Source organism: Homo sapiens, chromosome X (genome assembly GCF_000001405.40).
Source record: "Homo sapiens chromosome X, GRCh38.p14 Primary Assembly".
NCBI lineage: Eukaryota > Metazoa > Chordata > Mammalia > Primates > Hominidae > Homo > Homo sapiens.
Genome location: NC_000023.11, coordinates 90,241,890 through 90,268,403, shown reverse-complemented (window position 1 = coordinate 90,268,403; position 26,514 = coordinate 90,241,890). Strand labels below are relative to the sequence as shown.

The 26,514-nt window shown below is 36.2% G+C and overlaps 1 long non-coding RNA gene across 1 annotated transcript in view; it reads right to left on the bottom strand.

Annotated features, from left to right (window-relative positions):
• Window positions 1–905: 905 nt before the first annotated feature.
• The window catches only part of LOC105373292 (uncharacterized), a 32,993-nt gene continuing 7,384 nt past the window's right edge, over window positions 906–26,514 (bottom strand). Inside the window, exons 3-4 of the long non-coding RNA XR_938464.3 lie at window positions 5,235–5,289; window positions 906–3,335 (exon numbers count right to left, since the gene is read on the bottom strand). This is a non-coding gene — a long non-coding RNA (uncharacterized LOC105373292). The remainder of the gene's footprint in view (window positions 3,336–5,234; window positions 5,290–26,514) is intronic.

The following is a 26,514-nucleotide window of genomic DNA, read 5'->3' as shown; positions in this document are numbered from 1 at the left end:
GGTAAGTTCTATAAAAACTTTGCCACACTGTAAATGATCCATGTTATTTTTTTTTGCCCTCAATATTATGCTTTTAAGACTTTTCTGTGTTATGTGCAGTAATATTTTATGGTCTGATTTGCAATATTCCACTCTGTGAGGAAACATTAATTCAATTGTGTTTTTTCTGGTTGTTGGACATTTGGGCTATTTACATCATTTTGCCATTGTGAACATTACTGCAATAGACATTATGGACGTGTATCCCTTTGGATCCCCATACTCTCCAGGACTTGATATTATCAGATTGCTTAGTAGTTTGCCAATTACAGGTAAATTACATTTTACTGCGGTCTTAATATAAATTTCTTTGATTACTGAGATTGCTTAAATATGAGCTACTTTTTTATATACTGGATTGTTCTTTCTTGTTGATTTATGGCAGTTCTTTAAATAGTCTACATACTAATCTTTCTGTGCATACTAATCTTGTTTTAGTGATTCTTATTGCAAAAACATTCATCTACCTTGTGGCTTGTCTTTTCACTTCATGGTGTTTTTCATTTGTTTGTTTTGTTTCTGTTTTTTTTTTCAACTTTCATTATGGAAAATTTCAAATGTAGAAAAAGTTGACAGAATTGCATAATGAACCTCCACATACCATCATCCAGATTCAATGATTATCAATATACCAACATTCTTATATCATCTATAATTCACTCACACCCCACGAATGGCAAAAATAAAAGAAATGTCTAACTACCCCATAAATTAATGCTATAAAAATACCACACCCATATGTGCTTGGCTGGTTTTATTTTTATGTTTGTATATTTGATTGTTTTGTTTTATTTTAGTCTGGGGCACTCTGGTATTGTGGCATCACAGTATCACAAATGATTTCAAGATGTTATAGAAAACTTAGAGAATTTTAAAAATTAAATTTATTCTATATTTTTGAAACAGACACTGAAAAGGTGATGTTTTAAAAGAAAGTATTTTATCCTCCAATTATTCTCAATATTATAATACAACCAAACATATTAAATAGTGTCCTGTGATTTTTATTACTAGTGCTTATTTTATAGAAAAACCATGGACTTGTGGATTGTGAAAAATAGCCAAAGATTGACTCATTGGAAGTTACAAGTTCCAACTTTTTGCATGGTGAAAATTAAAGTATGCAATCTAGATTTTTTTTTAAATGTTGTAAACTAACTCTGCCTTCTGTTTATAATTAAATGTACATATATATTTATTTTCCTGCTCTTTCTAAGAAATGCAAGCATCAGCCCTGTAGTATTAGTATTGAACTGAAATCTATTAGAAAGTTTAATGTTTAGTTATTTTTACTCTCATTACATTGCTAACTAAAACACCAATTCAGATAATCACAAAATTCAATTTATATGTTTCTTAAAATACTCAATGCTTTTCTTTTAAAAAGTCATTTAGAACGGTAGCACTAAGCTTAAAAAAATCCTTTGAACTAACTTTGTGAAGAATGTTATTTCTCTGGGTTCCCAAGAACCCAAAGTACAACTATTTAAAAGTATTAATCATAATAATCATAAAAATAATGTGGCCTGGAGCAGTGACTTCTGCCTGTAATCCCAGCACTTTGCGAGTCTGAGGCGGGAGGAACACTTGAGGCCAGGAGTTCAAGACCAGCTTGGGCAAAACAGTGAGACTCCCATCTCTACCAAAAACAAAAGAAAAAAAGAATGTGATCATATTAGTTTAAGATAATGGCATATTAGTTGTTATACAAAGAATTTTGATTATAAAGGGTAATTTTGAATAATAATTGATTTGCAAGACCAAGGAGGATGGAAAATGGATATACGTCACAGCATTTGGTTTGCTTTGCTTTCAATTTCACACTCAATAAACAAAGAACCAACAATATTTGGAAGCTTGTTTTAAGAGTTCTGCATCAGTAAAGCAGAGGCAATGAAAGTACACAGCTAGTCTATCCATCTGCTTATATCATATTTGGAAAAGACTATATTAAATATTTTGAAACTAATATGATTACAGAGCTGTCCATCATATTACTAAACTCCATATATTATTGCTGCATTTCTCTCTAATATTCAACATTTTATTTTTTAATTTTGATAGGAACAGTCTTGATTTACTTCCATAAGAAATCATTGTTCTTAGTTACCTTAGAGGTGATATCATCTGCTGGAAAGGGTCAGCTCCGAGACAAGGAGAACAACAGATTTGGATTTTTTCTATCTCAGAAGATATAAGCAAACAAAACAAAATAACATATATGTTGTTTAGCATTGTTTTTCTCGGACTATGTGAGCTAGCTTGCAATGGAGTTGGGGGTGTTTTTCTGTTGAATTTATTTTAGTACTTCACACTTATTTTTAATTTTCACTTCCGTATCACTGAAAGAGCCCCAAGTTGGAAGTCAGAAAATCCATAATGAAGTATCTTTCTTGGTAATCTGGTATATTTGTTTTCTTATATGTAGCAAAGCAGTATTTTCTAGATCAAATCTAAGAATAATTTTAATGTAAGTTTTTGCTATTGTGTCACTGTATTTGGGCTGCTATAACAATATACTCTATATTGGGTAATTTGTAAATAATAGAAATATACTTCTCACAGTTCTGGAGGCTGGGAAGTTCAAGATCAATATACTAGCAGATTTTTTGGTGAAGGCTTGCTCTCTTCTTCATAGATGGTGCCTTTTGCTGCATCCTTACGTGGCAAAAGGGCCCCCAAGCTCCCAAGAGCACAAGTGCCATTCATGATTGCAGAGTCTTCATGATCTAATCAACTCCCAAAGTCCATACCTCTTAATATTATTGCATTGAGGATTAAGTTTTAATATATGAATTTTTCAGGGACACACACATTCAGAACACAGCACTATTGTGTGTGTGTGTGTGTGTGTGTGTGTGTGTGTATATATATATAAAATAGACTTGGAATGTCTCGCATAGTTAAACATTAGGCCATTGGGTAGACACCAAGAGAAATGGACAGTAATGGCTCAAAAAGAATCTGAATTCTAAATAAAATGGGAAACTCCATCCTTTCTTTTCAATCTCTTAAGCCAATAGTCTTATCTTGCTTCTACATTTTGCTTTAAGTTGGAGAAATTCTGAGACTGTAACTGCATATGCAAACAGAAGTTGAGGATACAGCCAGTTTTGGAGACTTAAAGGCAAAATAACTTGTTTTCTGTTTTGTTTTGTTTTTTATCTTGATGACCATAACCGTGAAAAAAAAATGGAGATTGCTTCAAGGAATACTTTGAACAAGTATTTAGCTATTAAGGATTTTCCTCTTATGGAGAAGCTGTCAGATCATATGTTTCTTTTCATTTTCATGTTCTGATAAAAGGAGAAAAGGCAAGCAGAATTTAAAATATGCACATTAGATAAAAAATAAATTGCAAAATTTCCCCTGTATGCAGATACTTATCTAATAAGGAAAATCCATACAGAATATCTTCAACTGTAGTTATTGATTTCAAATGGGCACAAAGAACTTACTAAGCAGTCACATAAGGTACTATAACAAGATTCCACAACAACATGTAGATTTCCCTACGCCTATAGTTCAGCAAATAAAATACTACCAAAACAATAAATCAGTTGGTTTTCTAAATATTTATAGTATCTTTACTACGTACCAAAGTAATGCACATCAACTCTAAAGTATCTAATGAACTCTAATAAACTCAGGTAATTACTAAAGTAGAATAAAATAAGCAGAGCTATAACTAGTAATCTTTCCATAATTTTACCATTCGACATTTAAAATGGTGTTTGCTGTTTATTATTCATGTTATATTTACTGTTACTAGTATTTTTTCTCATTTTCACATTGTTTCTTAAAAACTACAATTCTAAATGCTGTACGTTATCTCTTTGTCATTATGGATGTAATTAATCCACAGTTGTTGAACATGTAAATTGTCTTTAACTTTCTATGCTGTGAAAAATACTACAGTATATAGTTTTGTATACTTGTCTGTAAACACTTCTCTGATTATTTTTTCGGAATATAATCTTAACATTGAATAGCTTGTAAAAGAAAAGTACATTTTTAAGGCAGTTACTAAATTTCCTTCCGGAAAGACTGCACAAATATGTTCTTACCAAAACTGTACAAGAGTATCACTTGGTTTCCTTACATCAACCAGCTTTGGCTATTATTATTATGAACAAAACATGATAATTTAGTAATTGAAGGAATTGTTCCTTTTCTTCTTTTAATATATATTTCTTTAGATATTGACATTTTATATAGGGACTATTTTAGTTTCATCACTTGTGAATTATTTGCTTGTGTCCTTCCAAGTATTCACTTCTAAAGAGTTAAATAAGTTACATGTGAAAGAGAAATCTGGTTTTAGCAAACAGTTGACACATATGGCCCAAACTAACTCTTCACGGTACTTCATAGATGCAAAATAATTATTCCCTTAACTTTTATTTTATATGTACTGGGAGCTAAAATTCTTCCCTGAGATTACTTTGCAGTGTTTTAAGAATTCCAAAAGTGTTGGCATGTAACCTCGTATAATGTGCCTTAACTTAGTATGCCAGATTAATTGTAGGGGAAAATGCAGTGAATAATCAGCTTAGTGAGAAACTGCGTCATTAAATTGCATCTTAATGAGAATGCATCCCTGTTCCTATTCCTGAACTTGGGTTATGTTACATTTTCCCCATATAAAACAATATCTTGGTAAGTATCCATACTTGATGCTACCTTAGTCTTTACCATTTTATACGAAGCTGTTGAGCTAAAATAAATAGACAATTATTTTAAAGCTGTAGGCAATTTTATTAATGACTCTAATCAATGATAGAAAAACAAAACATGTTTGTAAGAATAACTAGGCTGTTATTGAAATTCAAAGAAACAATTTTAATTCTCAAAATATAAGGAAAATATGCCATATAAGGATGCATATTCACAATAATCCTACTTCCCTAGCTACACTTCCAAGTCTAAGACAGTATAGCCCTAAGTCAGTCACCATTGCAATGCCATGCTTCTTATGTTCTTCCTTCTACTTATTATGTTCTCATTTACCCCCAGAAACTCTTTGCATTCTTCAATACCCACTTTGAGTATCATCCTCTCTGTGGAAGTATTTCAAAACTTCCTCTCCCACAACACTAGCGTACATTGTTCCATTCATGGTGATTTGTAAATGTTTCTAAGTGTCTGTTTCTCCAATCTCTTATTAAATTCTTTGAGAAAGACTTTGTATTTACCTTGTATGTCTAGCACCTTGCAGGTTTTGGTATATTAAAGATATTCAACAGCAATCTGTGAAATGAATACATTAACTGATGAATTAATTAAATAAAAACTGGGAAGTATTTAAATACATGTATAATTTGAGCTTTCAAAAGAAACATTGGACTATATTTTCCCCATTAGTATATCAGTTTTTAAAAACTGTATTTCTTATTTTATACAATAATAAGTCTGTGACTTTATCTAACTAGGTAAAGGAAGGTGAAGAGCCAATTATCAGATTAATGAAATTAGAAAGAGCCATTTTTCACATAACATTTTTTTCTAATATTTCATTATTCCTTAAGAATGAAAAATATTATATTTAATTGGCCTTTTTACTCTTTGCCATTTGATTTTATTTTTTTTAGCAGTTTTGGAAGTACTGCTTGATACTCTTTTCCCATTCTCTGATACAATGCAATTCAATCTCCATTTACTGCATTTGTATTCCAAGTATTTCACCAGTACTGGGAGTGGGGACAATGATGTAAGGCACAGTCTGCACTCTCAAGACATTTATAATCTATTGGAGGAATTATATGTATATAACAATTTTACAATTTTATGGTGTAGTTAGTACCATGAATAGACTATCAACATATATCTGGGAAAGGGATTGTTAATTTTACCTGGAGCTTTCAATGAAGAGCATATAATTCAAGAAAGCATTAAATGAAAGTAAGACCTCAAAGAAAGAGAGCAGAGGAAAGAAAGAACAAGGGGAACTATAGCATGAATTTGTAACATTGATGATCTATAACTATACTCTTTTAAAATGTTATATTAGAAATAGAGAGAGAAGATTGAGAATTATAACAAATTAGTGTAGCTTTTGAATTCCATGTAATTGAGTTAAGACTTTACATTCAGGAGTCAGCAAATATTTTTAAGCACAGAAATTGGAGAAATTGTTTTATGCTTAAGAAAGTCAACTCTGGCAACAGTGTGAGTAGAGCAAATAGACTTCAGCATTTGGAACTTTGAAGAATTAAGAAGCTGTGGCAATAGAAATGATCCATAATTACCTAGACATGATGGAGGTAGAACTGATAAAATCTGGTGACCAGTTGGATAATAGAATGCAGTCAGATTTCTAGACTCAGCAATTCAAATGAATGACAAGTATCATTAACCATAAGAATACACAATACGTTTTTACAAAAAACTTATTCAAAGTGAAAATGGTATTAAAGAATGCATTTCATGATGCAAGAGCCATGCAGAAACTTATGCCTTTTACTTATCCCTGTTTAAAAGCCATAGAACGGGTGAATATACCTATAAAGTTCAGATGAAAAATTTGTGGTAAAGTGCCTTTGAGACTTTCCTTATTCTGGTGATCTTTTCTTTTATACGAAGCTTTTCCCTCTTGTCTTTTCTTGACTAATATTTTAAAGTTCTAGATACCACATTTAAACAACTCAACTCATTTACCAAATACAGGATTCCCTGTTTTCTCACTTTCCCTCAAAATTGATCTCACTCCAATGCTGCCTCATATGTGAAGAAACTAGATCTCTCATATATGGCTAGTAGAAATGTAAAATGTCACAGCCACTCTGGAAATTTGTATGGTGGTTTCTTGTATAACTAAACATTCACTTAGCATATGGTTCAGCAATCACACTCTTGAAAATGTACCCTAGAGAAATGATAACTTGTGTCTACACAGAACCTGTTCATAGCAGCTTCATTTATAGCACCCCAAAACTGGGAAAAATTCAGATGTTCTTCGAATTAGACTTCACTGCTAAAGAAACCATAGAATGATAGTATATCCATAACACAGAATAGTAGTCAGTAATATAAATGAATAGACTATTGATATTTGCAAAACTTTGATGAATTTTCGAAGAATTGCACTGAGTGAAAAAAGCAAACTTTGAAAGATTACATAATATATGTGCTTTGGACTGAATGTTTGTGCCCCTCCCCAAAAGTATATGTTGAAACCCTAAACCTAAATGTGATGAGATTTCAAGGTGAGACCTTTGGGACCTAATTAGGTCATGAGGGTGGAATCCTCATGATTAAATTAGCACCCTTATAAAAAGAGAAAGATATTTGAAATATTTCTCTCTAGCCAGAAAGAAGGCCCTCATCAGAGCCTGTTTAGGCTGGCATACTGATCTCATACTTCCAGGCTCCAGAACCATGAGAAATAAATGTTTGCTGTTTAAGTCACCCAGACTATAGTAATTTATTAAAGCCGCTCCAACTGACTAAGGCAATATAATTCTATGCATATACCATTTGTGAAATGAAAAAATTATGAACATGGAAAAGAAATTAGTGGTTGTCAGGGCTTAGGGACAATGGTAAGCAGGGAGGAAGGTGTGACTTCAAAGAGGAACACAAGATAGACCTTTGTGGTAATGGAATATTTCCGTGTCTTTTTTGCAGTGATGGTTACTTGAACTTATACATGTAAGGAAATGGTATAGAACTATACAAATTTGTTGTACCAATGTCAATATTCAGGTTTTGATTGTGTGCTATAATTCTGTAAGATATAACCTTTGGAGGAAACTGAGTAAAGGTTATGATATGATTTGGCTCTGTCATCACCCACATCTTATCTTGAATTGTAGCTCTCATAATCCCCATGTGTTGTGGGAGTGACCTGGTGGAAGGTAATTGAATCAAGGGGGGAGGTTTTTCCCATGCTATTCTCATAATAGTAAAAAAGTGTTACTAGATCTGATGGTTTTATAAAGGGCAGTTCCCCTGCACATGCTCTCTTGCCTGTTGCCATGTAAGATGTGACTTCGCTCTTCCTTTGCCTTCCACCATGATTGTGAGGACTCCCTCACAGTTAGCCATGCTGAACTGTGAGTCAATTAAACCCCTTTCCTTTATAAACTACCCAGTCTCAGGAAAGTCTTTATTAACAGCATGAGAACGGACTACTCCAGGGTACATAAGACCTCTCATCTTTGCAATTACTGTGCTATAATTAAATAATTCTTTAATAATAAACAGTTAAAAATGAAGTCTTTATTAAGACTACTTTTCCCCCAGGATTGACTTTGTGAGTATACAATCTGTGTGTTTATCATCAGGACCCTGAGCTTTTCTTAATGTTGTGCTGTTGCTGTGTTGAAACTCTTAATAAAATTTTAACAAGAGACCCCACATTTTCATTTTGCACAGGGCTCCACAAATTATGTATCTGGTCTTGGTTGCCCTAGTTAATTCCTGATATTTGTTTAAGACAGTATCAAACTTTATTTTCTGGTGACTCTTAGGAAACTTTACTCATTATCAGGTATAATTTTAATTTTTTTAGTCATCATTTGAGACTGACAATTTTTCTTTTGTTCTCCTTCACCACAAATATCAAAATGAAAGGTGTCATTCTGGGGAAGCGGCCAAATACTTTAGAGACAACACGAGCATCTTGCAGCTCAAAATAAAAGGGATAATCTGATTTTTATTTAATTAAACACAAGCCAGATGATAAATATACAGAAGTGACTTTAAGGTATCTTCCCAACATATGTTAATTTTCAGTTGAATAAAAACAGCATATGTAAAGAACACTTTGATCCATTCTTTTTCTTTTAATCTTATTTTTTTCACAATGATTCTTCGTACAACTCAGAACATTTATCCTTTTGATTATAAACTTCCCATCCTTTTTAAGTTGGATAAAAGATACTTGCTTGCTCCACATACAAGAATCATTTCAAGTGATTTATTATAGTAATAACAATAAGAATGACAAATTAAATCAGGATAGCACTTAAGGTACTTGCTAAATGCAAGTCTCCTAGATATTTGAATTGTTCATTCAGAGAATAGTAACTTTATCTGCATATAATCCACATTTCAAAATCAGAAGAGTTTATTTGGAATTTTACGTTGTTCCTCCTGTAGCTTTCCTGTTCCAGTGCCAAAAGCAGAAGGGGGCTATCACTCTCCCTCTACTAGCTTTAAAGAGAAGAGGTAAGGACAAGAATGACATCTTGCTGACTTCACTTCTCCTTGCCCTGACCCCTGAAACTAAGTATGTGTAAATCACTCTTGTAATATTTCTGCCTTGGCTTATTATCCCATACTCTGTTTTTCTTTTTTGTAAATTCTCCTTCTTGCCTCCTTGTGGTTAAGTTCATTATCAACACCCTCTACCTTAAAATTAAAGTAATCAGAGCTATATTTTTCTACTTTGATGCTTAAAACTTTGCTTTCTTCACCTGTACCTTGCATTCACGCTGTTTATTTCACTTCAAGATAATATTAATTAATTAACTTATTTATTTATTTTGCTCTTTTATTTTTTTTTATTTCAATAGCTTTTGTGGTACAAGTGTTTTTGGTTACACAGATGAATTAAATAGTGGTGAATTCTGAGATTTAATGTACCCATCACCTGAATAGTGTACTCTGTAGCCAATATGTAGTTTTTTTATCTCACACTTCCCCTTTACCTTCCCCCTCCTGAATCTCCAAAGTCTGTTATATCACTCTGTATGCTTCTATGTACTCATAATTTAGCTCCCACTTATAAATGAGAACATAAGGTTTTTGGTTTCCCATTTCTAAGGTACTTCACTTAGAATAATGACCTCCAGATCCATCCAAGTTGCTGCAAAAGACATTATTTTATTCCTTTTTATTTGAGTAGTATTTCATTGTTCGTATATACCACATTTTTTTATCCACTCATTGATCGATGGCCACTTAGGTTGGTTCCATGTCTTTGCAATTGTGAATTGGACTGCAATAAACTTATACATGCATTTTTTTTTTTTTTTTTGATAATGACTTATTTTCCTTTGGGTAGATACCCAGTAGCGGGATTGCAGGATCAAATGGTAGATCTACTTTAAGTTCTTTAAGAATTTCCACACTGTTTTCTATACAGATTGCACTAATTTACATTCCCACCACCAGTGTATAAGCATTCCTCTTTCATCACATCTATATCAACATCTATTGTTTTTGAATTTTTCATAATGGCCATTCTTTCAGAACTAAGGTGGTACCTCATTGTGGTTTTAATTTGTATTTCTCTGGTGATTAGTGATGTTGAGTATTTTTCTCATACATTTTTTCGTCATTTGCATATCTTCTTTTGAGAAATGCCTATTTATATCATTTGTCCAGTTGTTGATGGGATTATTGACTTTTTCTTGCTGACTTGTTTAAGTTCTTGTAGATTTTAGATACTAGTCCTTTGCTGGATGCAGTTTGAAAATATTTTCTCCCACTTTTTGTCTGTTTGCTGATTATTTGTTTCGCCACACAGAAGCTTTTAAATTCAATCAGGTCCCATTTATTTTTGTTTTTATTGCTGTTGCATTGTCTTTTGGGGTTTAAGACATAAATTATTTTTCTAGGGCACTGTCCAGAAGAGTTTTTACAATGTTATTTTCTAAAATTTTGTATGGTTTTAGGTGTTGGATTTAAGTCTTTAATCCATCTTGAGTTGATTTTTCTATAAGGTGAGAGATAGGAATACAGTTTCAGTCTTCTGCATGTGGCTAGCCAGTTTTCCCAGCACCATTTATTAATAGGGTGTCTCTTCCCCAAATTATGTTATTGTATGCTTTGTTGAACATCAGTTGGTTGTATTTAGTTTTATTTCTGGGTTATCGATTCTTGTTCATTGGTCTATATGTCTACTTTTATACCAGTACCATGCTGTTTTGGTAACTACAGCCTTGTAGTATTACTTGAAATTTGGTAATGAGATGCCTCTGTATTTGTTCTTTTTGCTAAGGATTTGCTTTGGTTACTTGAGCTCTTTTTTGGTCCCATATGAATTTTAAGGATTATTGTTTTTTCTAGTTCTATGAAAAATGATGTTGGTATTTTGATAGAATTGCATTGAATCTCTAGATGGCTTTGGGCAGTAGGGTCATTTTCACAATATTGATTTTTCCAATCAATGAGCATGGGAAGTGTTTCCATTTGTTTCAGTCATCTATGGCTTCTTTCAGCAATGTTTTGTAGTTCTCCTTATAGAGATTTTTACCTTCTTGGTTAAATATATTCTTAGATATTTTATTTTATTTTTTGCACCTATTGTAAAAGGGATTGAGTTCTTCATTTTATTTTCAGCTTGATCATTGTTGGTGTATAGAAGTGCTACTGATTTGTGTACATTGACTTTGTAACCTGAGACTTTACTGAATTCGTTTTTGAAATCTAGGAGTCTTCTGGAGGAAGCTATAAAGTTTTCTAGGTATATAATTATATCATTGGCTAATAGTGATAGTTTGACTTTCTCTTTTCCAATTTGGATGCCTTTTATTTATACCTCTTGCCTCAATTCTCTGGCTAGGACTTCAAATACTATGTTGAATAGAAGTAGTAAAAGTGGCCATCCTTGTCTTGTTCCAGTTTTCAGAAAGGATTCTTTCAACTGCACTACATTCAGTATGTTGGCTGTGGGTTTGTCACATATGACTTTTATTAATTTAAGTTGAGTCCCTTCTATGCCTAGTTTGTTGAGGATTTTTATTATAAAGGGATGCTGGATTTTTTTGAATGCTTATTCTGTATCTGTTGAGATTATCATATAGTTTTTCTTTTTAATTCTGTTTATGTGAGTATTGCATTTATTGACTTGTGTATGTTAAACCACCCCTGCATCCCTGGGATGAAACCCACTGATGATTGTATATTATCTTTTTGGTTTGCTGTTTGATTAGGCTAGCTAGTAATTTGTTGAGAATTTGCATGTATGTTCATCAAGGATGTTGGTTTCGTTTTCTTATTTTGCTATATCCTCTTCTGATTTTGGTATCAGAGTAATACTGGCTTCATAGAATGAATTGGGAAGGATTCCATCTTTCTTAATCTTTTGGAATAGTTTTAGTAGGATTGATACCAATTCCTCTTTGAACACCTGATAGGATTCAGCTTTAACTCCATCTGGCCTTGGCTTTTTTGGTTGGTAATTTTTTATTACTGATTCAATCTCACTGCTTGTTATTAATCTTCTAAGAGATTAAGAGATTATATATCTTCCTGATATAATCTAGGGGGGTACATGTTGATATGGTTTGGCTCTGTGTCCCCACACAAATCCCACCTTGAATTGTAATAATCCCCGCATGTTGTGGGAGAGACCCAGTGGCAGATAATTGAATCAATAATGGGGGTGTGTTTTTCCCGTGCTATTCTTGTGATAGTAAAAATTCTCACAAGATCTGATGGTTTTATAAAAGGGAGTTCTAAACATGCTCTCTTGCCTGCTGGTATGTAAGACACGACTTTGCTCCTCATTTGCCTCCTGCCATAATTGTGAGGCCACCCCAGCCATGTGCAACTGTAAATCAATTAAACCTCATTCCTTTATCAATCAATTACCCAATCATGGATATGTATTTATTAGCAGCCTGAGAACAGACTAATACAGTAAATTTGTACTGAGTAGTAAGACACTGCTGTAAAGATACCCAAAAAGTGGAAGTGGCTTTGGAACTGGTTAACAGGCAAATGTTGGAACAGCTTGGAGTGCTCAGAAAAATACAGGCAGATGTGGGAAGGTTTGAAACTTCCTAGAGACTTGTTGAATGGCTTTGACCAAAATGCTGATAATGATATGGACAATGAAGTCCAGGATGAGGTGGTCTCAGATGGAGGTGAAGAAGTTGTTGGGGACTGTAGTAAAGGTGACTCTTGCTATGTTTTAGCACAGAGGTTGGTGGCATTTTGCCCCTTCCCTAGAAATCTGCAGAACTTTGAACTTGAGAGACATGATTTAGGGTATCTGGTGGAAGAAATTTCTAAGAAACAAAGAGTTCAAGAGGTGACTTGGATGCTGTTAAAATCATAAGTTTTATGTATTCACAAACATATGGTTTGGAATTGAAACTTATGTTTAAAAGAGAAGCAGAGCATAAACATTTAGAAAATTTGCAGCCTCACAATGAGATAGAAAATAAAAACCCATTTTCTGAGGAGAAATTCAAGCCAGCTGCTGAAATTTGCATAAGTAATGAGGAGCCAAATGTTAATCACCAATATGATGGGGAAAATATCTTCAGGGCATGTCAGAGACCTTCATGGCAGCCCCTCCCATCACAGACCTGGAGGCCTAGGAAGAAAAAATGGTTTTGTGGGCCAGGCCTGGGGACCCCATGCTTTGTACACCCTAGGGACTTGGTCTCCTGCATTTCAGCATCTCCAACTGTGGCTAAATATGGCCAATGTACAGCTCAGGCTATTGCTTCAGAGGGTGCAAGCCACAAGCCTTGGTGGCTTCCCCATGGTGTTGGGCCTGCAGGTGCACAGAAATCAAGAACTGAGGTTTGGGAACCTCTGCCTAGATTTTACAGGATGTATGGAAACACCTGGATGTCTGGGCAGAAGTTTGCTCTAGGGGTGGGGCCCTCATGGAGAACCTCTGCTAGGGCAGTGTGTAAGGGAAATGTGGATTTGAAGCTCCCACACAGAGTCCCCACTGGGGCACTGCCTCGTGGAGCTGTGAAAAGAGGGCCACCATCTTCCAGATCCCAGAATGGTAGATCCACCTACAGCTTGCACTGTGTGCCTGGAAAAGCTTCAGACACTCAATACCAGCCCAGGAAAGCAGCTGGGATGGGGACTGTTCCCTACAAAGCCACAGGGAAGAACTGACAAGACCATGTGAACCCACCTCTTGGATCAGTGTGACCTAGATGTGAGACATGGAGTCAAAGGAGAACATTTCATAGCTTTAAGATTTGGCAGCCCTGCTAGATTTTGGACTTGCATGGGGCCTGTAGCCCTTGTTTTGGCCAATTTCTCCCATTTGGAATGAATGTATCTACCCAATGCCTGTACCCCCCATTGTATCTAGAAAATAACTAACGTGCTTTAGATTTTACAGTCCCCTAGGTGGAAGATACTTGCCTTGTCTCAGATGAGACTTTAGACTGTGGAGTTAGTTCCTTTTGAGTTAGTGCCGAAATGAGTTAAGACAATGGGGGAAGTGTTGGGAAGGCATGACTGGTTTTGAAATATGAGGACGTGAGATTTGGGAGGGGCCAGGGGTGGAATGATATAGTTTAGCTCTGTGTCCCCAGCCAAATATCATCTTGAATTGTAAGAATTCACATGTGTTATGGGATGGACCCAATAGGAGGTAATTGAACCATTGGGGTGGGTTTTTCCCATGCTGTTCTCATGATAGTGAATAAGTCTCACAGGTTTGATGGTTTTATAAAGGGGAGTTCCCCTGCACATGCTCTCTTGCCTGACACCATGTAAGACATGACTTTAGTCCTCATTCACCTTTCACCATGATTGTAAGGCTTCCACAGCCATGTGGAACTGTGAATCAATTTAACCTCTTTCCTATATAAATTACCCAGTCTTGGGTATGTCTTTGTTAGCAGTGTGAGAACAGACTAATACACGTTTCCAGGAATTTATCCATTTCCTCTAAGTTTTCCAGTTTGTGTATATAATAGTGTTCATAGCAGTCTCAAATGATATTTTGTGTTTTTGTGGTGTCATTTGGAATGTCCCCAGTTTCACTTATAATTCAGTTTATATGAATTTCTTCTTTTCTTAGCTAATTTTGCTAATGGTCTATCAATTTTGTTTATCTTTTCAAGGAACAATAGCTTTTTGTTTCATTGATCTTTTGTATTTTATGTTTGTTTGAATTTCATTTACTTCTGCTCTGATCTTTGTTATTCCTTTCCTTCTGCTTGCTTTGAGTTAGGTTGTTCTTTCTTGCCTTGTTCCTTGAGGCATGATACTAGATTGTCAATTTGTGGTCAAACTTTCCTCTTAGCACTGCTTTTGCTGGATCCCAGAGGTTTTGGTAATCAGTATCACTATTATCATTCATTTCAAAGACTTAAAAAATTTTTCATCTTAATTTTTTTATCTCAAAAATCATTCAGAAACAAATTGTTTAATTTTCATGTATGTGTAAAGTTTGAGGAGTTCCTTTTGAAGTTGATTTCTAGTTTTATTTCACTGTGGTCTGAAAATATACTTGATATGATTTTGATTTTTTTAATTTATTGAGACTTGTTTTGTGGTCAATTATATGGATTATATTGAAGAGTGCTCCAAGTGCTGGTGAGAAGAATGTATACTCTGCAGTTCTCAGGTAGAATGATCCATAAACATCTGTTAAGTTCATTTATTGTAGAGTGTAGTTTTAAGTACATTTGGTTGTTGTCATTGTTGTTGTTATTGTTGACTGTCTCAATCTGTCTACTGCTACCAGTGGATTATTGAAGTCTTCCACTACTATTGTATTGCTATCTACCTCATTTTTTAGGTCTTGTAGTATTTTTTTTTACCTTTTATTTTAATTCCGGGGTACAAGTGCTAGTTTGTTACATAGGTAAACTTTTGTCATAGGGGATTGTTGTGCAGATTATTTTATCACCCAGGTATTAAGCCCAGTATCCATTAGTTATTTTTCTGATCTTCTCCCTCCTTCCACATTCCACCCTCTGAAAAACCCCGTTGTGTTTTTTTCCCCTCTATGTGTCCACATGTTGTCATAGTTTAGCACTCACTTCGAAATGAGAACATGTGGCATTTGGTCTTCTGTTCCTGCATTTGTTTCCTAAGGATAATTGCCTCCAACTCCATCCATGTCCCTGCAAAGGACATGATCTCATTCTTTTATGGCTGAATAGTATTCTATGGTGTCTATGTACCACATTATTTTTATACTGTTTATTACTGATGAGCGTTTAAGTTGATTTCATGTCTTTGCTACTGTGAATAGTGCTACAATGAACATATGTGTGCATGTGTCTTTATAATAGAAAGATTTATACTCCTTTGAGTATATAGACAGTAATGAGATTGCTGGGTTGAATGGTATTTCTGTCTTTAGGTCTTTGAGGAATTGCCACACTGTCTTCCACAATGGTTGAACAAATTTACACTCCAAACAACACTGTATATGTATGCCAGCATTTGTTATGTTTTGACTTTTTAATAATTGCCATTGTGACTGGTGTGACATGCTATCTCATTTTGGTTTTGATTTGCATTTCACTAATAATCAGTGATGTTGAGCTTTTTTTCATATGATTGCTGGCCACATGTATGTCTTCTTTTCCAAAGTATCTTTCATGTACTGTGCCCACTATTTTAATGAGGTTTTTCTTTGTAAATTTGTTTAACTTCCTTATAGATGCTGGATATTAGACCTTTGTGAGATGCATAGTTTGCAAAAATTTTCTACCATTCTGTAGGTTGTCTGCCTACTCTGCTGATGGTTTATTTTGCTGTGCAGAAGCTCTTTAGTTTAATCAGATCCCATTTGTCAATTTTTGCTTTTCTTGCAATTGCTTTTGAAGACTTCGTTGTAAAATCTTTACCTGTGCCCATGTCTTGAATGGTACTGCCTAAGTTATCTTCCAGGATTTTTATAGATTTGGGTTTTTCATTTAAGTATTTAATCCATTTTGAGTTAATTTTTGTATATGGTGTAAGGAAGGGGTCCAGTTTTAATCTTCTGCATATGGCTAGCCAGTTATCCCAGCACCATTTATTGAATACAGAATCCCTTTCCCATTGCTCGTTTTTGTTAGGTTTGTCAAAGATCACATAGTTGTAAGTGTGCAATATTATTTCCAGGTTCTTTATTCTGTTCCATTGGTCTGTGTTTCTGTTTTTGTACCAGTCCCATGTTGTTTGGGTTACTGTAGCCCTGTAGTATAGTTTGAAGTTGGGTAGCGTGATGCCTCCAGCTTTGTTTTTTGTTTTTTGGTTTTTTTTTTGTTTGTTTGTTTGTTTAGGATTACCTTGGCTATTCTGGCTTTTTTGTAGTTCTATATGAATTTTTAGATGGTGTTTTCTAGTTCTGAGAAGAATGTCATGAGTCGTTTGATAGGCATATTGTTGAATTTATACATCGCTTTGGGCCGTATGTTCATTTTTACAATATTGATTCTTCCTATTCATAAGCATGGAATGTTTTTCCATTTGTTTGTAGCATCTCTGACTTCAAGGAGCTGTGTTTTATAGTTCTACTTGTAGAGATCTTTCACCCCCCCAGATAGCTGTATTCCTAGGTGTTTTATTCTCTTTGTAACAATCGTAAATGGGAGTAGATTCCTGGTTTGGATCTTGACTTGACTGTTGTTAGTGTATAGGAATGCTAGTAATTTTTGCACAGTAATTTTGTATCTTGTGACTTTGCTGAAGTTGTTTATCAGCTTAAGAAGCTTTTGGGCTGAGTCTATTGGGTTTTCTACATATAGGATTATGTCATCTGCAAACAGGGATAGTTTCTTTCATTTGCCTGATTGCCCTTAGTAAGCCTTTCCAATACTATGTTTAATAGGAGTGATGAGAGGGCATCCTTGTCTTGTGCCTGTTTTCAAGGGAAATGCTTGAAGTTTTTGCCCATTCAGTATGATATTAGCTATGGGTTTGTCATACATGGCTCTTATAATTTTTAGGTATGTTTCTTCCATAACTACTTCATTGTAAGTTTTTAACATAAATCAATGTTGAATTTTGTTGAAAGCCTTTTTGGCATCTAGGGAAATAATCATGTGTTTTTTGTATTTAGTTCTGTTTATGTGCTAAATCACATAAATTGATTGGCATATGTTGAATAAATCTTCAATCCCAGGGATAAAGCCTACTTGATTGTGGTGCATAAGCATCTTGATGTATTGATCGATTCAGTTTGCTAGTATTTTGTTGAGAATTATTGTATCTATATTCATCAAGGATATTAGCCTGAAGTTTTCTTTTTGGTTGTATCTCTGCCAGGTTTTGATATCAGAATAATGCTGGCTTCATGGAATGACTTAGAGAGGAGTCCCTTCTCCTCATAGTTTTGGAATATTTACAGCCATAATGGTATCAGCTCTTCTTTATACTTCTGGCAAATTTCAGCTGTGAATTCATCTGGTTCTGGGCTTTTCTTTGGTTGGGAGGCTATTTATTACTGACTCAATTTTACAGCTTGTTATTGGTCTTCTCAGGAATTCATTTTCTTACTGGTTCATTCCTGGGAGGGTGTATACATCCAGTAATTCATCTATTTTGTCTGTATTTTCTAGTTTATGCATATAGAGGTCTTCATAATATTCTTTGATGGTTGTATTTCTATGAGGTCAGTGGTAATATGTCCCTTGTTATTTCTGATTGTGTTTATTTGAATCTTCTCTCTTTTTTGTTCTTTATTACTCTAGCTAGCAGTCTATATATTTTATTTTTAAAAAAAAAAACAGCACGTGGATTCATTGATCTTTGGAATTTCTGTGTGTCTCTGGCTCTTTCAGTTCAGCTCTGATTTCAGTTATTTCTTGTCTTCCGCTAGCATTGAGATTTGTTTGCTCTTGGCTCTCTAGCTCTTTTAATTGTGATGTTAGGTTGTTAATGTGAAATCGTTCTAACTTTTTGATGTGGAGATTTAACACTATAAATTTCCCTCTCACCACTGCATTTGCTTTGTCCCAGAGATTTTGGTATGGTGTAGCTTGGTCTTCATTATTTCAAAGATTTCTGCCTTAATTTTATTATTTATCTAAAAGTTATTTAGGAGCAGGTTATTCAATTTCCATGTAATTGTAGGGATTTGAGTAAATTTCTTAGTCTTGATTTCTGATTTAATGGTGCTGTGGTCTAAAAGACTGTTTGTTAGGATTACAGCTCTTTTATATTTGCTGAGGAGTGTTTTAACTCCAATTATATGATAGATTTTAGAGTATGTTCTATGTGGCAATGAGAAGATTTTATATTCTGTTGTTTTTAGGTGGAAAGTTTCATAGTTACCTATAAGGTTCATTTGATCCAGTTTAGGTTCTGAATATCTTTATTAATATTCTGTCTTGATTATCTGTTTAATATTGTCACTGGGGTGTTAAAGTCTCCCACTATTACTGTGTGAGACTCTAAGTCTCTTTGTAGGTCTCTAATAAATTGCTTTATGAATCTGAGTGTTCCTGTGTTTCAGTCCATACATATTTAGAATAGTTAACTCTTCTTGTTGAATTTAACCCTTTGTCACTATGCAATTCCCTTGTCTTTTTTAATTTTTGTTGATATAAAGTCTATTTTGTCAGAAACTAGGATTACAAATTCTGCTTTTTTTCTGTTTTCCATTTGCTTGGTAGATTTTTCTTTATTCCTTTATTTTGAGCCTCTCTGTGTCATTGCATGTGAGATGGGTCTCTTGAAGAAATTGTACCAATAGGTCTTGGTTCTTTATCCGGATTGCCATTCTGAGTCTTTTAATTGGAGCATTTATTCCATCTACATTTAAAGTTAGTATTTATATGTGTTGATTTGATCCTGTCATAATGATGTTAACTGGTTATATTGCAGACTTGGTTATATGGTTGCTTTATAGTGTCAATGGTCTGTGTACTTCAGTGTGTTTTTTTAATGACTGATAATGGTCTTTCCTCCCCATATTTAGTGGTTCCTTCAAAAGCTGTTGTAAAGTCAGTCTGGGGGCAACAAATTTCCTCAGCATTTGCTTGTTCGAAAAGGATCTTATTTCTCCTTTGCTTATGAAGCTTTGTTCAACCAAACATGAAATTCTGGGTTGGAATGTTGAATACTGTCCCCCAATCTCTTCTGGCTTCCAGTGTTTCAGCTGCGAGGTCTGCTGTTAGTCTGATGAGCTTCCTGTGTAGGTGACCTAACTATTATTTCTAGCTGTCTTTAACATTTTTTCTTTAATTTCACCCTTGGGGAATCTAATGATTATGTGTCTTGAGGATGATCTTTTTGTGAAGTATCTTACTTGGGTTCTCTGCATTTCCTGAATTTGAATGTTGGCCTTTCTAGCGAGTTTTGGAAAGTCCTCATGGATGATATCCTGACTATGTTTTCCAAGTTGGTTCCATTTTCCCCATCTTTTTTCTGGGACACCAATCAGTTATAGATTATTTTCTTTTTACATAATTCTATATTCCTTGGAGGTCTTGTTCTTTCTTTTTATTTATTTTTTCCCTATTCTTGTTTGCCGATCTTATTTCAGAAATCCAGTCTTTGAACTCAGAGATTCTTTCCTCTGCTTGGTCTATTCTGCTCTTAATTCTTGTGATTGCATTAAGAAATTCTTGTAGTGTGTTTTTTGGCTCTATCAGGTCAGTTATTTTCTTCTCTAGACTGGCTATTTTTTCTGTCAGATCCTGCATTGTTTTATTATGGTTTTTAGCTCTTTGTATTGGGTATCATTCCAGCCATCTCAGCCTCAGCCCAGTTCTGAATCCTTGCTAGAGAGATGATGCAGTCATTTGCAAGAAAGAGGGCACTCTAACTTTTTGAGTTTTCAACTTTCTTACACTTTTCTTTCTCATGTTTGTGGGTTTATTTACCTTCTATCTTTGAGATTGCTAACCTATGAATTTTTTCTCTTTTATGCTATTTGATGACCTTGAGGGTTTGATTGTGTCATAAGGTGGATTCAGCTAACTGGGTTCATTTCCTGGAGGTTTTAGGGGGACCAAGGATCAGCTCTCAACTCCTGGACTTCATGCTCGAAGTGGGGGACTTGTATCAGTTCCAGACATTGTTCTCTGTCTCCTTGAGTTATGGAGTCCACTGCACCAGAAGGTGCAGAGAGTGGAAGCACCTGCAGTAGAGTGCTAGTAAATGCAGGTGTGCCTGCCTCCCTGCAGGCATTCACCACAGTGGCAGATGCAAGAAAACTCTGGGGGATGCAGGGGGCTCCTGTTGGAGACTGTGTGCACCATTGCACTGAAGGTGGTGTTGGTTTGGGTTGGAGTGCTGGCTGGCACTGGTCTGGGTGTCCTTTCTGTGACCTGCAAGCAGTTGTGATTACTCAGGTTGTAAAAAGGTCCACTGTTCTCTGTGCAGTTTTAGCACAAGGGTGTGGTACATTCAGGGGCTGGGTTTGCTGGCTCTGTGCCCACCAAGGCTGTATCTGTGATGGTGATTAGTTGCGGGGGTGCTGGTGGTGGACTACACTTCTGCGTGCTGGAAAGGCAAGTAAAGCAAAACCTTCCCATATAGACACACACCTGTGGGGAGATGCTGTGGGCTTTGGGGAAGCTGCAGTATCAGGAGGGAACATGTGGGCTCGTTCATGGATGTAGAAGCCACCTCGCTGGAGCTCTCTATTGATCAGGCACAATCCACTGTTGTAGAAGCTATGATGTGTGCCCCCGGGTCACCCAAGACTTCCCTGTTAAGCAGGCATGGCCAGGCCGTGGCCCTGGGAGAGGCCAGCAGACCAAGGAGTGCTCAGATTGGGCCAGCCCCATCTTAGTGCAAGACTGCCCTGCAAAGACAAGGTCCGACAGTTCCCCTAGGACTAACATCTCTTATGGGAGCAAGACAAGCCTAGAGCGATGGCCATCTCTGATCATGCTCCACTAGAGATGTTACCACACCAAACCCTATAGGCTTCACATCATCTAGCTTGCTGCCCCACCACTTAAATGAGCAGCCTTCCCTGCCACCTTAAGTGTCTGCTGTGGTCAATGGGTCCCCTTCTTTTGGGGTCCCAAAGTTCTGTTTTGAGAGTGGGTTGCTCCTTGCCAGGTAAACTCCTCCATTCTGCTGGAGTTGTTGTGGTTAAAAAATGAGTCTCTGTGCACAGTAACCAATGAGGGGTTCCCAGTTTTCTTCCCCTTCAGCCTAGCTTCTGTGTCTTTTCTCTGCCCACTCTCAGCACCTTCCCTCTAAATATCTTTTAAAAGCATGCCAGCAGTCTCAGTCCCTCCATGGGAGCTGTTCCACTTGTGTGCATCTAGTCAGCCATCTTGCTCTTCCCTAGTAATTGTTTTATGAATCTGGGATCTTCAATGTTAGGTATATATATAATTAGAATTGTAATGTCTTCTTGTTGGAATGATCCTTTTATCATTATATAATGACCCCCTTTGTCTTTTATTATTGCTGTTGCTTTAAAGTCTGTTTTATCTGATACAAGAATAGCTACTACTGCCTGCTTTTGGTTTTTATTTTTATTTGCATGGAATATCTTCCACCCCTTTACCTTGAGTTTATATGAATTCTTACATTTTAGTTATCTTGAAGACAGCAGATATTTGGTTTTGTTTCTTTTATCCATTCTGCCAATCTATATTATTTAAGTGGAGCAATTGTCATATGCATTATATTAATTATTACCTAGTGATATGGTTAGGCTTTGTGTTCCCACACATATCTCATCTTGAGTTATAATCCACATAATCCCCAAATGTCAGGGGAGATGCAAGGTGGAGGTAATTGAATCATGGGGCAGCTTCCCCCATTCTGTTCTTGTAATACCTAGTGAGCGCTCATGGAGATCTGATGGTTTTCTAAGGGGCTCTTCTCTTTTTTCTCTACACTTCTCCTTTCTTTTGCCTCGTAAAAAAGGTGTCTTGCTTCCTCTTTTCTTTTTGTCTTGATTGTAAGTTTTCTGAATCCTCTCCAGCCAAGATGAACAGCGGTCAATTAAATCTATTTTCTTTATAAATTACCCAGTCTCAGGCAGTTGTTTATAGCAGTATTAACATGGACAAATACAATAAATTGATACTACAGGGAGTAGGGTGCTGCTATAGAAATACACAAAAATGTGGAAGCAACTTTGGAACTGGGTAACAGACAGAGAATGGAACAGCTTGGAGGGCTTAGAAAAAGACAGGAAGATGTGGAAGGTTTGGAACTTCCTAGAGTCTTGTTGAATGGTTTTGACCAAAATGCTGATAGTGATATGAGTAATGAAGTCCAGACTGAGGTGGTTTTGGGTGAAGAAGAGGTAACTCTTGCTGTGCTTTAGCAAAGAGACTGGTGGCATTTTGCTCCAGGCCTTGCTATCTGTGGAGCTTTGAACTTGATAGAAATAATCTGAAATAGGAACTTATGTTTAAAAGGGAAGCAGAGCATAAAAGATTGAAAAATTTGCAGCCTGACAATGCAGTCAAAAACAAAACACATTTTCTGGGAAGAAATTCAGGCCTGGCAAATAAATATGCATAAGTAAAAAGGAGCCAAGTGTTAATCACCAAGACGATGGGAAAATGTCTCCAGGCCATGTGAGACACCTTCATTGCAGCCCCTCCCATCACAGGCCCAGAGATCTAGAAGGAAAAAATGGCATTCTGGGTCAGGTCCAGGGTCCCCATGTTGTGCGCAGCTTTGGGAATTGGTGCCCTGTGTCCCAGCCACTTCAGCTGTGGCTAAAAGGAGCCAAAGTACAGCTCAGGTTGTTGCTTCAGAGGGTGAAAGCCCCAAGCCTTGAGAGCTTTCACATGGTGTTGGACCTGTGGGTGTGCAGAGGTCAAGAAATGAGGTTAGGGAACCACTGCCTAGATTTCAGAGTGTGTATGGAAATGCCTGGATGTCCAGGAAGAAGTCTGGTGCAGAGGTGGAGTCCTCATGCAGAAACTCTGCTAGTGCATTGTAGAAGGGAAATGTGGGGCCAGAGCCCACACACAGAGTCCCCTCTAGGGCACTGCTTAGTGGAGCTGTGAGAAGAGGGCCACCATCCTCTGGACCCCAGAATGGTAGATCTACCGACAGCTTGCACCATGTGCCTGGAAAAGCCACAGACACTCAATGCCAGCCCATAAGAGAAGCAGGGATGGGGGCTGTACTCTGCAAAGCCACAGGGTCAGGGCTGCCCAAGATGGTGGGAGCCCACCTCTTGCATCAGTGTAACCTGGATATGAGACATGGAGTCAAAGAAGATCATTTCAGAGCTTTAATATTTGACTCCCCTGCTGGATTTTGGTCCATGGGGCCTGTAGCCCCTTTGTTTTGGCCAATTTCTCCCATTTGGAATGACTGCATTTATCCAGTGCCTGTACCACTTAGACTTCCTAGTGACTAGGAAGTCACTAACTTTCTTTTGATTTTACAGGCTCATAGACAGAAGAGACTTGCCTTATCTTAGATGAGACTTTGGTCTTGGACTTTGTGTTACTACTGGAATTAATGAAGACTTTGGGAAGGCATGATTGGTTTTGAAACATGAAAGGGCATGAGATTTGGGAGGGGCCAGGGGCAGAATTATATGGTTAGGCTTTGTGTCCCCACCCAAATCTCATTTTGAATTATAATCCCCATAATCCCCAAATGTCAAGGTAGAGACCAGGTGGAAGTAATTGGCTCATTGGGGCAGTTTCCCTCATGCTGTTCTCATGATAGTGAGTTCCCATGAGATCTGATGGTTTTATAAGGGGCCCTTCCCCCTTCACTCAGCACTTCTTCTTCCTACCACCTTGTGAAGATGGTGCCTTGCTCCCTCTTCAACTTCGCCATGATTGTAAGTTTACCATGGCTTCCCCAGCTGTGCTGAACTGTGAGTCAATTAAATTTCTTTCCCTTATAAATTGCCCAGTCTTGGGCAGTTCTTTATAGCAGTATGAAATCAGACTAATCACCTAGATACTTGGCTTTTTGTTGTTTTGTTATTGTTTTATAGGCTTTTTCAGTTTTATGCTTTCAAGAGGTTTTATTTTGGTACATATCAAGTTTTGTTTCAAGGTTTTGGACTTCTTTTAACATTTCTTGTACTACTGGCCTGATAGTAACAAATTTCCTCAGCATTTGTTTGACTGGAAATGATTTTATTTCTCCTTCATTTATGAAACTTTGTTTTGCTGGATACAAGATTATTGGCTGACAGTTATTCTGTTTAAGGAAGCTAAAGATAGGACCCCATTTCCTTCTGGCTTATAAAGTTTCTGTTGAGAAGTCTCCTGTTAGTATGATGGGTTTTCCTTTATAGGTTACCTGATGCTTTTGTTTTACTGCTCTTGGAATTCTTTCTTTCATATTGATTTTAGATAGCTTAATGAATATATGCCTTGGTGATGACTTTTTGCAATAAATCTCCCAGGAGTTCTTTGAGCTTCTTCTGTTTGAATATCAGTCTCCAGCAAGGCCATGGAAGATTTTCTGAATTATTACCTCAAAAATGTTTTTCACACTTTTAGCTTTCCCTTCTCCCTTAGGAACGCCAATTATTCTTTGGTTTGGTCATTTTAGACGATTCTGTAATTATGGAGACTTTGTTTATTTCCTTTGATTCTTATTTCTTTTGTTTTTCTCTGATTGCATTAATTTGTAAGCCTTGTCTTCAAGCTCTGAAAGTCATTCTTCTACTTGTTCTAGTCTATTGTTGAAACTTCTTTCCACGGTATTTTTTAATTCCCTGAATACATTTCCAGAACTTCTGATTGATATTCCTTAAGATATCAATCTCTTTAGAAATCTTGTTATTCACGCCTGAATTATTTTTTGTTTGCTTGTTTTACTTTCTTTATGTTGGTTTTTACCTTTCTATGGTGTCTTGTTGAGTAGCTTAATAATCAACCTTTGGGGATTCTTTATCTGGTATTTCAAATATTTCATCTTGATTTGAATCCATTGCCAGAGGGCTAGTGTGATTTTTGGAGGGTGTTATAGAATCCTCTTTTGTCATATTACCAGAATTACTTTTCTGGTTCCTTCTGATTTGGGTAGAATATTTCTTCTATTTTTTCTTAATTTTATTTTTTATTTCACTGTGTTTATTTCAAAATTGCCCTTTTTCCTCTTAAGCATATGACTTTAATGTTTATAGTTTATTGTAGTATAATTAAGCTCTTGATGCTTTCAGGATGACGGTTTTATATGAGTTCCATGGTTACAGAGAGTCTTTATATGATTGCTTTCTCAGATGCTGGTTGTAGTGGAAACATGCTTGGTGTGTGAGAAGTTCAGTCTCCTATAGAGTTGGAATGGCAGAGATCTCTTGAAACTCATTCCCTATGGTTTGCACTTTTATTTATTTATTTTTCCCCAGTATTTTATTTACTAGGTTGAATATTTTATTTACTGGGTTGAATATTCCCAAGTAATTTATTTACTGAGCCAGACTACAGTGAATGCTGTTGCTTTATTTATTTATTTATTTATTTATTTATTTATTTATTTATTTTTCCCAGTATTTTATTTACTGGGTTGAATCACTCAGGTTTCTGGCCAGTATGGGAAGCGTCTTTAGCTAAAAACTGTCTATGACTAAAGCAGGTTGGTGAATGCAATACCCAATGGTGGGCAGGGGTCCTAGCCTTGACAGAGATGGCTGGGGGAGCTCTCAGTGAGTCACACTGAGTTCTTATCAGAGGAAAGGACTGGAGCCATCTCAACTCCCCTGCCAGGACAGCAGGAAAGCAATCCACCTCCCACACATACTCTTGACCCAGTGTTCTGGGTATTCAGATCAGACAGGCATCTCTTTTATTATGCAGGAATGTTGATGCTGCAAGTAGAGACGAATGGTGACTCTACATCTCCTGCAAGCTTGCACCTGGAGGGTGCCCCTCCTATGTGGATCACCCTGAAGTGTTTCAGAAAAGCTGTCTA